This window comes from Homo sapiens, chromosome 8 (assembly GCF_000001405.40).
Source record: "Homo sapiens chromosome 8, GRCh38.p14 Primary Assembly".
In the NCBI taxonomy this organism is placed as follows: Eukaryota; Metazoa; Chordata; class Mammalia; order Primates; family Hominidae; genus Homo; species Homo sapiens.
Genome location: NC_000008.11, coordinates 101,166,022 through 101,182,372, shown reverse-complemented (window position 1 = coordinate 101,182,372; position 16,351 = coordinate 101,166,022). Strand labels below are relative to the sequence as shown.

The window sequence follows — 16,351 nt, the reverse complement described above, 5'->3', positions numbered from 1 at the left end:
ATGAACTTTGAATGAGTCCTATATTGTAGTTTCAGCCTTACCCCTTACCTGTATGGCCTTAGGCAAGTCACTCTACCTGTCCAAATCTGTTTCATCATCTGTAAAGTAGGGGTGGTAGTAATAGTTAACTCTCTCTCAAATGTGATAAAAATATTAAGTGCTTAGAGCAGGGTTCACCCTACTGGTCCTTGGCCTGTTAGGAACCAGGCTGCACAGCAGGAGGTGAGGGGTGGGCAGGTGAGCGAGCAAGCGAAGCTTCATCTGTATTTACAGACACTCCCCATGGCTTGCGTTACTGCTTGAGCTCCATTAATCCAGTGGCAGCATTAGATTGTCATAGGAGTGCAAATCCTGTTGTGCACTGTGCATGCAAGGATCTAGGTGGTGCACTCCTTATGAGAATCTAATGCCTGATGATCTGTCACTGTCTCCCATCACCCGTAGATGGGACTGTCTAGTTGCAGGAAAAAAAGCTCAGGTTTCCCACTGATTCTGTTAATACATTATGGTGAGTTTTATAATTATTTCATTATATATTACAATGTAATAATAATATAAAGTGCACAATAAATGTAATGTGCTTGAATTACCCTGAAACCATACCCCCCAACCCTGTCCATGGAAAAATTGTCTTCCACAAAACCCATCCCTGTTGCCAAAAACACTGGGGACCACTGGCTTAGAGTATTCAACAAATGTTAGCCAAACAGTTAGCAACTGAATTTTCTGACCCTGTCAGACATGCTCCTGGAATATTTGGTGTCTGAATTATTGGAGAGTACCAAGTGACCTTGGAAAAGTCACTTGATCTTTCTGAGTTCCAGTAAAATGAAGATAATACATATACCTCCCAGGGTTGTTTGAGGCTAAAATGAGATAATATGAAAGCATCTATTTGATAATTTGCTCAACAAATAATTATGGAGTGCATTCCATGGGTTATAACGGTGAACAAAATAGACAATGGCCTTGGTATTCATGGCAGTAAGGCAGAGCAGGAATAAATACTGATTTTCAATCAGAGAAGGGGGAGAAGTGCCACATCGTACAAGTTACAAATTAGAATGCAGTTCTCCCTCTGATGAAGAGAGCAGGTTTTATTCTCCACAAAATTAATGAAGCTCTCTAGTCACCAGGAGTTACAAGATTATGTCACTAGTACCAAGACAACTGGTAGTGGTTGATGACTCACTATTTATAAACCCTGAGTATGAACTTAAGGCTGTCTTTCTGGAGCATGGGCCTGAGAATTGCCAGAATGTGCTGTCTGCCCGTGGTTACCCATTCTGCTGACTCCGGTGGGAACACATGTTAAATGAATTCTGGAATGTATCTCGAGTGATCAGAGCCCTGGGTGGTAAACCAAAGGCTCTGGGGCACAAGTGTTTTTTGTGTTTTTTTTTTTTGTTTGTTTGTTTGTTTTAATCCCTTCCAGTTGAAGGTCATGTCTGGAAGAGGTATGGGAAATGAACAGATGGTTTTATACATACTATCAAATAAAAGTTAGTTTTTCTGGACCATGTTTTATGGTATTGATATTTCAAGGTTCTAAAGCACCCCTGGGAAGCTGTTGCCTCAACTGGATTAGAAATGTGATAGATTAGGGGACACTTTTGAAAGATAAAGGGGAAGACAGCAGGAGTAGGCCAGGACAGCCTTCACACCCTGTTGTAGTTCTCACACCTGTGAGGGGAGAAAGAGAGAAAGAAGGAGGGGCTGGGTGGGAAAAGCCTCAGATTGCAGCACAGTTCTGAGAAAGCCACTGACGGGCCCATGGTGTCCCCATGCCAAAGTTGCCCAAGAGAAGAATCCTTGCAGGGCAGGGATGGGCCAATAATATACCCTCAGTGCTAGGTCAGCAGCTGGGGAGAGGGCAGGGACCTGGACGGAAAATGTGGCCTTAACATGAAGACAGTGGTGGGTCTGAAGGGGCCAGCCTCCACAGCTGGCCATCACATTGAAGGAGAGCTAAACAGCATACTGAGTGGTGCAGACCCCAATTTGAATACCATTTTTGGGAACTGTGGCATATGAAGGTAGATCCTTAGGAATCCAATGTACAAAAACACCCACAACTAGATATTCTTTCAGTACTGATCACCTAGGTGCCAGGTACTGGGGATGCAACCCTGAGCATGATAGAAGGGCCCTGCCTCATGCAGTGTATAGTCTGCGAGGGCAGGCGCGGGGCATCAAGGAAGAGCCCAGCAGGTGTATCCTACTCTACACAGGGTGGTCATCACATTCCTCTTAGGAGGCCAGGTAACCTGAGCTCTGTAGGCATTAGGAAAGCAAGGACAGAGGCCTTGAGGCAGGAAAGAGGGCCCAAGTGCCAGAGTGAAGGGAACACTCCAGGGGACCAGATGGCATGGGATGAGGTTTGGAGCAGAGCAGGAGCCAAATGCGGCAAGGCTTTGTCAGTTATGGCGAGGCTTTTGGACTCTATTTTAAATGTGATGGGAAGAGCGGCAAATGTCCTGAGCAAGGGAGCAGCGTGGTCAGATTTACATTCTGTGAAGAGCACTCTCCCTGCTGTGCGAGGATCATTTGGAAGGTGGCGAGTGTGTGCGGTGGGAGACAGATGAGGAGTAATCTGTAATAACAGTAATCCAAGTGGAAGATGTTGGAGAATTGGACCTGCTGATGGCTTCTGTGTATGGGATGAAAGAAAAAGGAATCAAAGATGCCTCTCAGGTCTCTGGCTTAATCAGCTGGTAAGGCCATATACTGAGATGATAGAGAACATGGGAGAAGGAACAGATTTGGGAGGAATGTGCTAGGAAATTAAGAACTCAGTTTTGGATATAAGTTTGGAATGCCCATTAGCCAAGTGGCAGTGTCAGGTGCATTGTACTTGAAACACAGATGTCCAGAGGCATATATGATTCTGAGGGAGGTTAGGCTGGAGATAATGAATTCCAGAGTTGCCAACATGTAGAAAGTATTTAAAGCTTTAGGATTGAGTGTGATCACTTGGGAAAGGATTATAGATAGAAAACTGAGGGCCCAAGACCAAGCCCTGAGGAGCCCCTACGTTCAGAGGTTGAGTAGAGGAATAGGAGGCAAGAAAGGAGAGAAGAAGCAGGGGAAGGGTGTTTCTGGGGGAGCACTCAGTTAAATGACCCCAAGAGGAGGGCAAGCGAGATGAGAGAAAACTCTCGGTAACCTGAGGGCATAGTGGGGACCTGAGAACATTTGCAAATGACTGGGGAGGATGCATGCCAGATTAGTGGGTTAAAGAAGGCATGGAAGATGGGAAGGTAGAAACAGCATGTATAGACCTCTCTTTTAAAAAGTTTTGTTGTGAAAGGCAACTGAGAGATGGATTAATTGCTGGAGGCGGAAGTGATCACTGGAAGGGAATCTTAAATTTTCATTTATTTGTTCATTCATTTAAGAAAGAAGTTGTTGTAAAAAGAACATTAGCACTAATAATTTTTATCCCACTTTGCCAGGATTAGACTCTCAAACAAAAAGGAAAAACAAAAGCTATTCCCAGCCACGGGAGTGGAGAAAGCCCAGGTCAGCAGGGTTTCCTCCTCAGTCAGGACGTTGAGTGACTGGGAGACAGGTTTTCCATCAGCACATGGAAACCCTTGGAGGTTGGACCTGGGTGGTGTCACTTAGATGTCTTCTGACCTAGATCGGAGGTAATGAATCCAAAGTTCCTGTAAGAATGCTGAATGATAACCTGACCTAAACAAGGCTAGCCTTTGAGGAGGTCAATAAGAGAACCATTACAGTAGGAGGAAGAGGACTTCTCCCCCCTCAGTCAATGATGGCCACAGCTACAGGGAAGACAAGGTCAGCAGTTAGGCCTCAGGGACATTAAGACCAACACTGAAACAATGTCTGTTTCTGGGTTACCGCCTCACCATTTACTGCCAATTAAAGCATCCTGACTGTGGGGCAGAAAGGCTTACTGGGTATTAGGAGCACAAAATGTCAGGAGCTAAAAATAAACTATTGTCATTTCTTTTGTAAGGGTTTCCCAAACTCTCGATTGCCTCTTGCAAGCAGATGACCTGGGAGCAAATGTTATGGCAGAACGATGGACTCCTAGCAAGGGCCGAAGCGTGCCCTGTGAAGACTGGAAAGAATATATGCTTGTCAGAGATTTGGTAACCTCATCAAGACCTTAAACTGCAGTTTAAGAGGGTGGAAAAATTACTCAAGTGAAACTATAAGCCCTGTTATTCGTAAGAAAACGTATGACACAGAGCAATTGGAGAATCTCTTAATTTGCATGCAAAAATAACAGGAGGAAAAAGTAAGGAATGTTATATCTGATTTCAAGTGTGAATATGAAGCAAAGGAACTTGAGATGTTAACACCTGAAAGAAATCAAGATTTCCTAGATACCCCTGAAACACAGGGCTCAGGACTAGAATATGGAAGCCCTGAGAGAACAGATAGCAGAGGAGCATTATATGTCCAAAATGTCTGAAAGTGCACAGAAAGCCAGAAGCCTGCACGAAGAGGTGGGATGGAGAATATTTGTGTGGAGATGAAAGGAGAGAGACTCAAGTGATTCCACCATGGGAGCAGTTTAAAACCAGGGACCACAAGCCACTACCATCCATAGGCCATGTTTCCTAACCCCAGTTTCAAACTGCGAGAGGCAAGATGTAGTAAAAATGTTTTTCAGCTCTCTAGGCCTTTACTAGAATGTTTATTCTGCTCAGTGCATTCGGTAAATTATTGACGTGACAATTTCATATCTAAGAAAATGAATGAAAAAAAATGAGGCTCTACTATCTAATTCTCACCAAGAAGGAAAATTATATCGTTGTTGAGTTTACAATTACATGTAAAAGAGGTATTGTGACTAGTAAAAAAGTGGTGTGAAAACTCAAAAAAGAGCAAATCTATACCCAGGTTCTAGCAGGGAGACCCTGGGTAATCAGGCAACTCACTCCAAGGTAGAATGGAGTCAGGCACTGGGGTCCAGGAGACTTAACTTTAATGAGATAGATAGCGAACAGTTCAGAAAATTATAGGTATGATTCTATGGCCAGAAACCAGAAGGGAATATGGTGCAAGAGGAATGGAGCCCTAAAAAACAGTTCTGTCACACGATCACATATAATTGTCATGAGAAAGAAATAGCTCAGGTACCTAGCAAGGCCTGGGATTGCATTGAGTTCTCCAACAGACAAGAGGCACTCGCAGGGTACCTGAACGGCACCAGCTGCTGGGAATTGGCTGGAAGGCCAACTCCTGAAAAGCTGAGGCTTTCAAATGAGTACTGGTCAAGATAAAGAGAAGTTATGTTTGGAGATCACAAATTTAAAAAGGAGTAATGTAAAGATGACAGCTGACAAGAAATGAACAAAACACTGCATTTGTGAGGGATTGGTAAAGAAAGACCTCAGAAATGCTGGGAACCTCAGAAAACACAGCTTTGTCAGCATCTGTTTTTCTGACCCAGGATAAGATCTTCCTTTTAGATCTGCTGGTCAAGGGACAGAGCTGAACTCTAAGCCAGCCCTGGTCTGTGAGGTTCTTGCCCATTCATGCCTAAGACTGAAAAGCTTTACTTTGAATATACTAAATCTTGCTCAAGGTGTAGTCCCCCATGCTTCTCAAGGCTGTGTGTTCCATTGGGTAAGGCTGTGGTCTTCAGAGTGGGACAGCAGCATTAGAACTGCTTGGCCTGCCTGCCTGTTACAAATGCAGGTGCTGGTACCCCTCCCATTACCTCCGTTCCCAAGCAATTTAGAACCTTAAGGAGGACAGCAAGGGAGCTTCAGAAATCAGCGTTTTCAATACATTCCTCAAGTGATGCTATCCAAAATTAGACTTTCAGAACCACTGAGCTAAGTCAGCCAACACCTCTTGTTGCTCAGAGCTTCCATGAGTATATGGGCTTACAGCCTGAAAATCCCTTTTTATCAAAGCTTTGCTGCATCCTAACTCATGGAACAACAGACAGGATTTCCTATGGAAATCAGGCCTTTAAAAAAAGAAATGTTATACTCTTCTAATGGTTAGATTTGCAGTAATTCTCAACTCTGCATGTTAGAATCTCCTGGAGAACTTTTAAAAACACACGTGTCCATGCCCCACCCCAGACCAATTAAATCAGGAACTCTGGAGTGGGGATCAGGCATGATTGTTTGCTTGTTTGTTTTTGTCTTGTTTTAAGCTTTCCAGGTGGTTCTGATGTGTGGCCAGGGTTGAGAACTACTGCTGTTTAAACTTTAGAAAAGCGTAACACTTTTAAAAGGTTCTATTCCATGTGATACCTCTTATCCTTTCACATCAACAAATAACCCCTACTTTCCATTTCTTCTTCATGAAAGATAGTGTTCTCATTTCTCAAAATTAGAAGGCATGAAACAAACATGGTTAAAAGAGAACACAATATAGTAGCTATACAAAATATATCTCTAGGCCCTAAAAATTTGCTTTTGGGGCACTGAAAAGATATGCAGATAAAATTGCGTAGCCATAAGTTCTTAAAGCTTATGATAAATGAGAGTGGCCAAAAGACAGGAATTGAGGAAATGTCAACCCAGTAGTCCAAAAGGTGACTCATGGACAATAAATACCAGCTGATAAAATCGAAGCTGTTTCCTGGGAAAAAATTATAGAATGCTTAATTAAAAAGATAATTTGTGAGACTTTAAAAAGGAATCAGGAAAAGTAGACTATTCCTGTTTGGGTACATTGAGGGGTGCTGGCAATGGAGTTTAACCCTACATCTGACAAAATCACTCCGAAATCCTCACATTATATGATGGATATGGTGGAGAAATGTAGACTGGGTTGTTACTCTGTTTAGGTGAATATACAGCTGCTTGAGCAACTACATTCAAACCTCATCGATAGTGGAATGATGTTTAACCTGGAGAGAGATCTCTTGTTCTCTTTCTTGTTCTGATATTCTTTGAAACCTATAGTTGTGAACCTCTTTATTCTAGAAGTGAATTTTAATGTAAAGAATTTTGTCCAAAGTAATGTTATACTCCAGCTCAGGAATGTACATATACATACACACAGGGGACTTCAAAAAGTTTGTAGAAAAATTGAAATAAAAGATAAAAATACGAAATAAAAATTTCTCAACATAAGCTCCATCAAGTTCAAGACACTCTTGTGAGCAATGATACTAGCCATCATTTAGTCCATCCCTAAAGAACTGAGGGACCTGGGAATTTAACAATGTCAGTGCAACCATTTCTTTCTTTTTCTTTCTTTTTTTTTTTTTTTTGCATTATTACTGAAGAAAAATGGGTGCCCTGTAAAGATTTGTTAAGATAAGAAATAAAAAGAAGTCAGAAGGTGCCAAATCAGGACTGTAAGGTGGATGCCTAACATGAAAACTCTCATAAAATTGCTCTTGTTTGATGAGAGGAATGAACAGGAGCATTGTCATGGTGGAGGAGGATTCTCAGGTGAAGGTTTCCTGGGTGTTTTTCTGCTAAGTCTTTGGCTAATGTTTTCAAAACACTCTCATAATAAGCAGATGTTATCATTCGTTGGCCCTACGGAAAATCAACAAGCAAAATGCCTTGACCATCCCAAAAAACTGTTGCCATGACCTTAGCTCTTGACTAGTATACTTTTGCTTTGACTGGAGCACTTAACACCTCTTGGTAGCCATTGCTTTGATTGTGCTTTGTCTTCAGGATTGTACTGGTAAAGCCATATTTCATCTCTTGTTACTTCAAAGAAATGCTTCAGGATCTTGATGTTACTTGTTTCCAATTTTCATTGAAAGCTCTGCTTTTGTCTGCAGATGATCTAGAAGCAATGGTTTTGGCATACATTGTGGGAAAGTTTGCTCAACTTTGATTTTTTCAGTCAGAATTGTGTAAGCTGAATCAATTGAGTTGTCTGTGGTGTTGACTATTGTTTCTGCTGTTAATTATCAGTCCTCTTTAACTAGGGCATGAAAAAGATGAATTTTTTCCTCACAAATTGATGTGGATGGCTTGCCACTATGGGCTTCATCTTCAACATCATCTCATCCCTTCTTAAAACGAGTTACCCATTTGTAAATTGCTGATTTCTTTGGGACATTATACTCCTAAAGTTTTCATAAAGCATCAGTGGTTTCACCATTCTTTCACTCAAGTGTCACCGTAAACTTGACACATTTGTTCTTGCTTCAATTTTAGCAAAATTCATGTTCCTCTCACAGGGGCTGTTTTCAAGCTGATGTCTTACCCTTCTGGGAGCCTCACACTAGATTCTGTTCAGACATGTTATAAAAAGTTAGTATGAGTTTATCTGGCAAAAAAAAAAAAAAAATTTGAATACATGCATAGTTTTCTCATAATATATATTTTCCATGAACTTTTGAAAACTTCTTGAGATATACACACAAGCCCAACATAGATTCTTCCACATTACTCTTTTCTAAAGCCTCTTTATCCCCATAATTCCATAAAATAATATATAACAGACTTGGCTTTGGCTTATTGGACTCTTAGTCCAACTTAGTTGTTTTTCAGCTTTAACTTTGGTGACTCATTTGTGCTCAGTTCTGATTCAGACAATGGAAAACTATTTTAGCAAGAGCTGAACTGATTTTTATTCCCCTGTTGATGTCCAAAGCTCAGCCCACCGTCATGCACTGTGCATTCACATTCTCTGTTTCTGCAAGCTTTGCTGGCCAATTTCACCAACGAACGTTGAATTGACCAAACATGTACTAAGTGCATTCTGCAGACATAACGGAGACTGAATTTTGGAGATCTTTGCTTCCCAAAGAATCCCCTGAAAAAAAAAATTTTTTTTTTACTTCTACTAAGTAGCCCAGTTTTCCAATCACATGAATTTTCTGGAATATTTTTGGAGAGAAGCAGATTTATTGAAGAGCTGTTCTTTTTTACCCCAGATATAGACAAAGTTAAATTTATTCTCTGAATATAAATCATCAGAGTAAGAAGGTAAGATTTAGTCAAGAAGATACATTTGTTGGACTATGGGTTCATCTGTGTGCAACAGAGACCTAAAGTTTCAATGGCTTAAGCAGTATTGAGGTTTATTTATCTTCCATGACAGCGTGAGAGTTTGCAGCCAAAGACTAGTATGGCGGGTCCATGGTGTCAAGGACTGCCAGGTATCTCCCATCTTATTGCTTCATTATCTCTAGGGGATGGCCCTCATCTGCATGGTCCAGGCAGGAAAGAGGAGGATAGGAATAACCCCACCCCAGAGGCTGCACCCAGCACTTCCCCTTACATACACACACACACACACACACACACACACACACACATTCCAGCTGCAAGGAAGGCTGGGAAATGTCTTTATTTTGTACAATCAGTAAAAACTGAGATTCTATCAATAAAGAAGGAGGGCAGACATTGGAGAAAAACTAGTAGACTTTCCAACATATTCCTGAAAAATTTTAAATTTCAGAAGGGGCTATAGGTGGGCCAGGCAGGAAAGAATCATTATCTCACCCAAAGAATGACATCGGGCTTCAAGTATCTAAGCCACCATCAAAAAGGCTGGTGCTCTTCCAGGTTTTTCTTTAAAGGGCATCTGTCAGGCTGGGGAGAACACTTCTCTAGGTGGCCTTGAGCCAGTATTATTGGCCCACTCAATCAGAGCTGCCCTGCAGCCTCGTTAGCACATCACAAGAACCCAGAGTGGAATTCTGGGATGGAAGAGCTGGACAGAAAGTGGAGAGAGAAGGTCCTCCCAGCGGCAAAGCTAATTAAAAGGAGAAACCTGTTTTCCACATGCACTCCTCAATATGCACACATGCTGCTTTCTTGTCATTACATGCCTCACTTGTCACCAAAGCATTTTCAATCAATTCCTGGGTGTTGTTCTTGTATCTTTAGATTTAGCGCATTCTTTCTTTAGTGCTCCTCCCTTTTATTCATCCAGCTGCTTAGAACAGTTTTCTTCAGCATTTAAACAAACCCACATACATTCCCCTCCCCCCATTTTCTTTTTTAAACAAAGCAAATGCTGCTTTCTTTTAACCGAAATAAAAGAGCCATAGACAATTCCATCTTTTAGGTCCACATGGCAGATCTCAAGTCAAGCATTCATTTTCTACCTGTGTGGAACTTTAATTAGTTTAAGTGGGAGGTCTGTGCCAAGAAACAGGCACCACATCACAGTTGGAATCTGCAGAGCAGATTGTTTTCTCTTAATAATGCTCTTTCAAACTCAATCCCGCTTGCAGTTTTGATACCAAAAACATGTGTGTTAAACAGCTACGAGTCGTTTCCGGGTCATTCGCATTAACCATGAGCTCTCCTGACAGTCTTGACCCATAACAGCAGACCTCTGTGTTTGAAGTGCTGTATAATTTACAAAGGACTGCACACACATCGTCACATGTCAGCTGCACACTTAGCCTGCTAGGAAATAATATCGCCCCCATTTTGGTGATGAAAAAATTGAGTCGTGGAATGGTTAAGTGACAGAATGAACTGAAACTGGATCCAGTCTGTCTGTGTTGCTAATGTAAGATGTTAAAGAACTGTCTATGGTTAAAAGAGAATGAGTATCTATTTTTAACAATGTGCTAAATGTTCTTTTCTTCTTTCCATGGTCCAAGATTGTCCTAAACTTTGATTTGATATAATTATTTTCCACAATCCTCTAAGTCAGGCTTTGAAATTCTTCTCTGCCTCTGGGTCTTAGTTTGCTTTGAGGTAAGGATGGCCAGTGTGGATCTTTCTTATATAATCTCTAGGTCTTATATTTTAGTTTCCTACCTGAAAATTTGTGATGCCACTTTTAATCTACGACGGTAAAGGAAAACAATTTCTCTTATATGCTATTTAAGAGTTAGGTATTTAAGATTAAAGGAACTATGTATAAATATCACTTATCCAGAAGTCTTCTGAATATTTCATTTCTCATGGAAATGCTGGATGTTTTTAAGCAACATTATCCATTATAAAACAATTCAAAAAGGGGGAAGAAAATCCTACAAAGATAACAAAAACTGTGAGGTTTTTTTTGTATGAAGTAGCCAATTTTCACAAAAAGTGCTGTTAGCGGTTTATAACACTGCTAGGAAATGTATTTTATATTAAAAATCGCTAACAGCACAGTCATTGTTTTCAAGATGCTTTAGAATGGGAAGAAATGTTCAATCTTTTTAACGTGTATCGGCATGTATAGGGTGTACTCTTTTAAAGAAAAATTTCAACTATTATAAAATCTAAGAAACTTTAAAACTGTGTCATTTATAATGTAAAATTAATGCAGCTGAGATTCAGTGGTTGACTCATAGCTCCCACATTCATCTTCAGTTCTCTTTAGCTCATATGGTTTTCTTTAAAAATTAGTGATATCAGCTAAATGGAACTATTTTCCACTCCTACCCACAGAGAAAAGTGCTTTTGTGAACATGTCAGCTCTGTTCCATCATTACATGCCATCATGCAGTGCAACAGAAGCAGGCTGGCTGTGCATACTTGATAACCAATATTAGTACAGATTTGAGAGCAAAATCCAAAGAAGATAATACTGTATTTCCATCTATTTATTTTATGCACATAAGCCACCTTTTTAGAACCAAGGAATTTTATAGCTAGACAAGATCTTGGAAGTCTTCCAATCTAGCCTCTTTATTTTGTACATATGGAAACTGAGGCACAAAGAGGTTCAGCAACTTCCCCAAGGTCACATAGCTGGTAGAGGTAGGCTGGGACTAGAACCCAGGTCTGTGTGACTCCAAAGTCTGTGCTCCTCCCACTATACTGCTTCACAGATAGGAGCTGATCTGCCTCAAATCTTCTGCCCCTTGGCCTTTCCACAACTCTGCATTGCTGCCATCTAACAGTGCCTTCCACTGGTGCCATGCTAAAGCTCGTTAGGAGGCAACTTAACATTGTTCTGTAAAAGCTCTACAGATGTAGGATGCTAGCTATCTGTTCTCCCCGGAAATCTTTTCAATTCAATTCTGCAAATAACTTAGGCTTTCCCAGACTAAGCAGTTCCTTCTCTCATTCCTGCAATTTGCTTTCCAGTTACCTTCTTCTGGACACATTCATTTCCAGTGCCCCTTCTGTTAAAATGGGCCCCACTAGAATCTCTGTTGCTGGGCACGGTGGCTCACGCCTGTAATCCCGGCACTTTGGGAGGCTGAGGCGGGTGGATCACCTGAGGTGGGGAGTTCAAGACCAGCCTGACCAACATGAAGAAACCCCATCTCTACTAAAAATACAAAATTAGGCAGACATGGTGGCACGTGCTTGTAATCCCACCTACTTGGGAGGCTAAGGCAGGAGAATCGCTTGAGCCCGGGAAGCTGAGGTTGTGGTGAGCCAAGATCGCTTCATTGCACTCTAGCCTGGACAACAAGAGCGAAACTCCGTCTCAAAAAGAAAAAAAAAATTGGCCCCACTCAAAATGGTACTCCTCCAAGTTGCTTTTTCATCCTTGTATTCCCCATGGTCATTCATCCCACTGCTGTCCTTCTGTCTCCAAGTCCTCTTTGCCTTGCTTCCTTCCCTCTCAACCCACAGCATCAGAGCAGTTTCTCCCCCAGCTGACCCTCTTTCCACTTTCAGTGCTCAATATTTTTTACTTTGCCTGTGGAAATGATCTCTTAACTGGTTTCCTTAAGTCCCTCCAGAAATGTTTTTCTAAACTCCAACAACTGTGCAAGGTCTAATTGCCATTGGTTTATCACCCACTGGACCCAGAAGCACCATCCTGGATTCTGCTTCTGCATACCCCTGTCAGCTCTGTGTCTTTAGGGACATCATTTAAACCTTCAGCTTCACTTTCTCCACTTATAGAATGAAGATGAGGAACAAGAACATCAATCTTTGAAATGATGCCAAGTATAAGCCTCTGTGTGTGTGTCTCCCCACTCCAATTTGTCCAACAGACTGCTTCCAAAGAAATCTTCCTAAAACACTGACCATCTTTTTTTTTTTTTTTTTTGGCTGCAAAATCTTTCATTTCCTCATCCCCTCACATAACTTCCAATCTTCTTGGCCTGGCACTAAGGACCTACTACAGACTGGCACTGAAATATCTTCCCTACCTTATCATTCCTTGTGCTTCTCCACAAGCCCACTCTTCCCCTTCATCATACATGTGCCGACCTTTCCTGTCTCTTTTACTTTGCAGCACCAAATGCTTTCTACTTTGTGGTCTAGGAGGAACACATGTCACTTTTGTAAGCTGCTCGAAAGCAGGGGCCACACCTTCATCCTTGTTTTCCACACAACACCAAGCACTTAGTAGACACCCAATAAATCATTGCTGAATGAATGTATTCAGCCTGGAATTGCACTAGGATTTTTTGGCCAACACATTGTATTCTTAACTGATACCAGACTTCCAATCAAATAAAATCCTTAAGCCTTTTTCATAGTCTTTAATTAAACTACTTCTCTTCCATTATTTCCCTTTGCCTACTTTTGAACTGATATTCAGAACTTTTCTGTTAATGTTTAATTTTCATCCATTATTCTTGTCTGTACAGATCTTTTTGATTTTTGACTCTCTTATCTAGTTTTTTTTTTTTTTTTTTGGCTTCCCGTTGTGTTATCCACAGGCACAATGGGTATATTGACTATCGTTCATTGAAGTTGTTGATACAAATGTTGAACAGGAGAAAAACCAGTAGCTTGCCAACTTGGCACCTCATTCTCTAGCTTGACAGTAATCTCTTATCTAGTAGTTTTTAGATATGGTTATTTAATCAAATATCACTAGCTTCTAATTTTGTTATAATTCATTCATGTATACAGACAATGAAGAATCATCTTTCTTCATTCAACACATTTATTGGGAACCAATCATTGTCCAAGGCAATATGCTAGGCATTGTGTAATAGAAAGCGATTAAGCTTTTACCCCTGTCCTCTTTGGCCTGCAAAGAGCAGGTAAGATTCATGCACAGACAAATGTAGTACCAGGTAAATAGTGAGGCCAAACACAAGAGGCAGGTCAAAGGGCTTTGGATTCAGAGGATGGAGAAGCTCTTTCTAGGCTGGTGAAATATTTGCAGAATGAGTAGGCTCATAAGTGGAGGTGAGGTACAGGCTAAGCTGCTGTAAGAAAGAGTCCAAAATGCAAAGGATTTACCACAATGCAGTTAATTTTTCTCACAACGGTCGAGGTAGGCAGGTGGTCCAAGTCCAGTTAATCAGCCCTCCTCAACACAAGGCTTCCCCTTGTAAGCTCAGGATGACCGCTCCAGTTCTCATCATCTCCCAGGCAGAAAAACGGGAGAAAGAGAACTAGACGTACCACCCAGTCATTTTAAGGACATAGCCAGGCCAGGTGCAGTGACTCACATCTGTAATCCAAGCACTTTGGGAGGTCGAGGCTGGAGGATAGCTTGAAGCCAGGAGTTTGAGACCAGCTTGGATAAGAAAGCAAGACCTTGTCTCTACAAAAAATTTAAAAATTAACCATGTGTGGTGGTGTGCACCTATAGTCCCAGCTACTCAGGAGGCTGAGGTGGAAGGATCACTTGAGCACAGGAGTTGGAGGATACAGTGAGCCATGATCACACCACCTCACTCCAGCCTGGGCAACATAGTGAGACCCCATCTCTTTAAAAAACAAAACAAAAAAACATCACCAGGAAGTTGCTTACATGTCTTCTATTCCTATAACATCGGCCTGAGCTTAGTCACATGGCCACACCCAGCAGAAAGAACTCTAGGAAATATGGTCTTATGCTAGGTAACCCCAAACCCAGCTAAAACTGTTGCTTTTGAAGAAGGGTGAAACAGACAATGTGGAGGAGAATTACCAGTCTGCCACAAAGAGAAAGAATTCTATGTGAGGAAAACGCTCTAGAAGAGGGAGCTGATTAATTAGTTATATCTCAGCCGAGAGGATGTTATGAGAAACACAGATTTGGGTTTAATAGAAAAACTTAGAACCCTTCAAGAAGGAATGGGCGGACTTGAGAGTGTCCTCCGCTTCTGAAAATGATCAAGAAAAATGGTAAGAATGTACACCTCAAGGGTGGATGGTAAAGGTCAGCCTTTAAGCCTCAATGGCGGTGTGGTTGTAGGTGGGGTGGGGGTGGAGGCCCCGAAGACAGGCAGACTACCACAGTAGCCCCGATGGAAGCAGTGAGAATGAACTGGAAGGAGCGGCTGTGGGAGCGACAACGTGATGAGAATAAACCCGGCTTGGCTCTGCCCTGTGCACACACAGGTGAGCTGTGTGCTCCCGGATGTGTCAGCTGGTATATGCGTCTGTCAGAAGGCAGCTGGGGAGCACTGTTAGCTCAGAGACTAAGAGGCAGACCCAGGAAGCCCTTCTTTGCATTGGTCAGGGTTTGCTGCATTTTCCCAAGCCCAGGAAATGGAACCCAGTTCTTCTTCTTTCTGTGTAAAATAATAAGCATCACAATAGGCTGTGCTCATGAGAACGCATTTTGTTTCCACAGAAATGTTTTTTCTCACTCTGTCCTGATTTTGATTTCTGTTAAACTCAGTAAACACATTACCAAATTTTAAAATAAGGTGACTTGTTTTCCCCAACTCACAGTTCACCAAAGGTATTTCATCTGTTTGTTCTGAAAATGCAGCTGCTGTCTAGATTTATGTGTGCTCTGACAAGAAATGTTTTGTGTAACAATAAAAATCATTTCCTTTGATGAATACTGTTGTTGCTTTGTGTTTTAAGAATGATATTTCATGTCTGTTCCATAGTAGCATTGCCCCCACTAAGCAAATTCTACAGGAGACCAGTTTGTGTTCCAGACCAAGGGAGCTGAAGCTTCTAACTCCTAACAGCCATGCAGGGCCTTGTCTAAAGAATCAGAGTCATAGGCAGCCATCTTTGTCAAGCAGATCCCTTGGTGGGGGGCGAACAGGAGGAGGCATGACTGGAGGTCCTCCAGTGGTGGCGCCCTCGCCCACATCCCTCTGTTGCACTCCTTAAATGCCCGGATGCTGCATAAAGGCTTTGGCCCTTCCTCTCAGGGCTTGTAAGCCACAAAATGATGTCACAGTGGGGAAGATGCTGAGGACATCAGTGAGAACCAGGAGCAGGCAGAGCCTGAACCCCAGCCCGGAAGGAAGGGGGAGGGAACAGAATACAGCTTTCTAGAAAGAGAGGAGAGGCTGAAGGCACAGCTAGGGAATACGCATGCACTTCCTTGGGCCTCAAGTGGGCCAGACTCGCGCCCGTGGAAGCTGTGTGACGGGGAGCAAAGAACACAGGCTTTGGAGGCAAGTCTCCTGAGTTCACTCTAGCTGTATGACCTTGGCCAAGGTTGTTAGCCTTTCTGTGCCTCAGTTTCCCTATATTCAAAATGAGCGTAAGAATAGTATCTATCTGCAGGCATTGTCTGGAGGATTAAGTGACTGGATATATCTGAGACAGAGGCTGTCAGTAATCCTACACTACCCTCTTCCTTCTTTTTCTATAGTAATAGACTC

General features: G+C 42.0%; 1 long non-coding RNA gene across 1 annotated transcript, besides 2 other annotated features; it reads left to right on the top strand.

Moving 5' to 3' along the window:
- The first annotated feature begins 12,133 nt into the window (after window positions 1–12,133).
- On the top strand, window positions 12,134–15,568 carry ZNNT1 (ZNF706 neighboring transcript 1). The gene has a single exon (NR_164368.1). It is a non-coding gene; the product is annotated as a ZNF706 neighboring transcript 1 (long non-coding RNA).
- Window positions 14,893–15,092: an enhancer, noted in NCBI's record as "active region_27728". NCBI's record gives its function as "activates an Ori minimal core promoter by ATAC-STARR-seq in GM12878 lymphoblastoid cells {active_cell/tissue: GM12878}" and the evidence as "EXISTENCE:reporter gene assay evidence [ECO:0000049][PMID:35858748]".
- Window positions 15,678–15,972: an enhancer, noted in NCBI's record as "tiled region #1163; HepG2 Activating non-DNase unmatched - State 23:Low, and K562 Activating DNase unmatched - State 13:Ctcf". NCBI's record gives its function as "activates a minimal TATA promoter and a strong SV40 promoter by Sharpr-MPRA in HepG2 and K562 cells {active_cell/tissue: HepG2 | K562}" and the evidence as "EXISTENCE:reporter gene assay evidence [ECO:0000049][PMID:27701403]".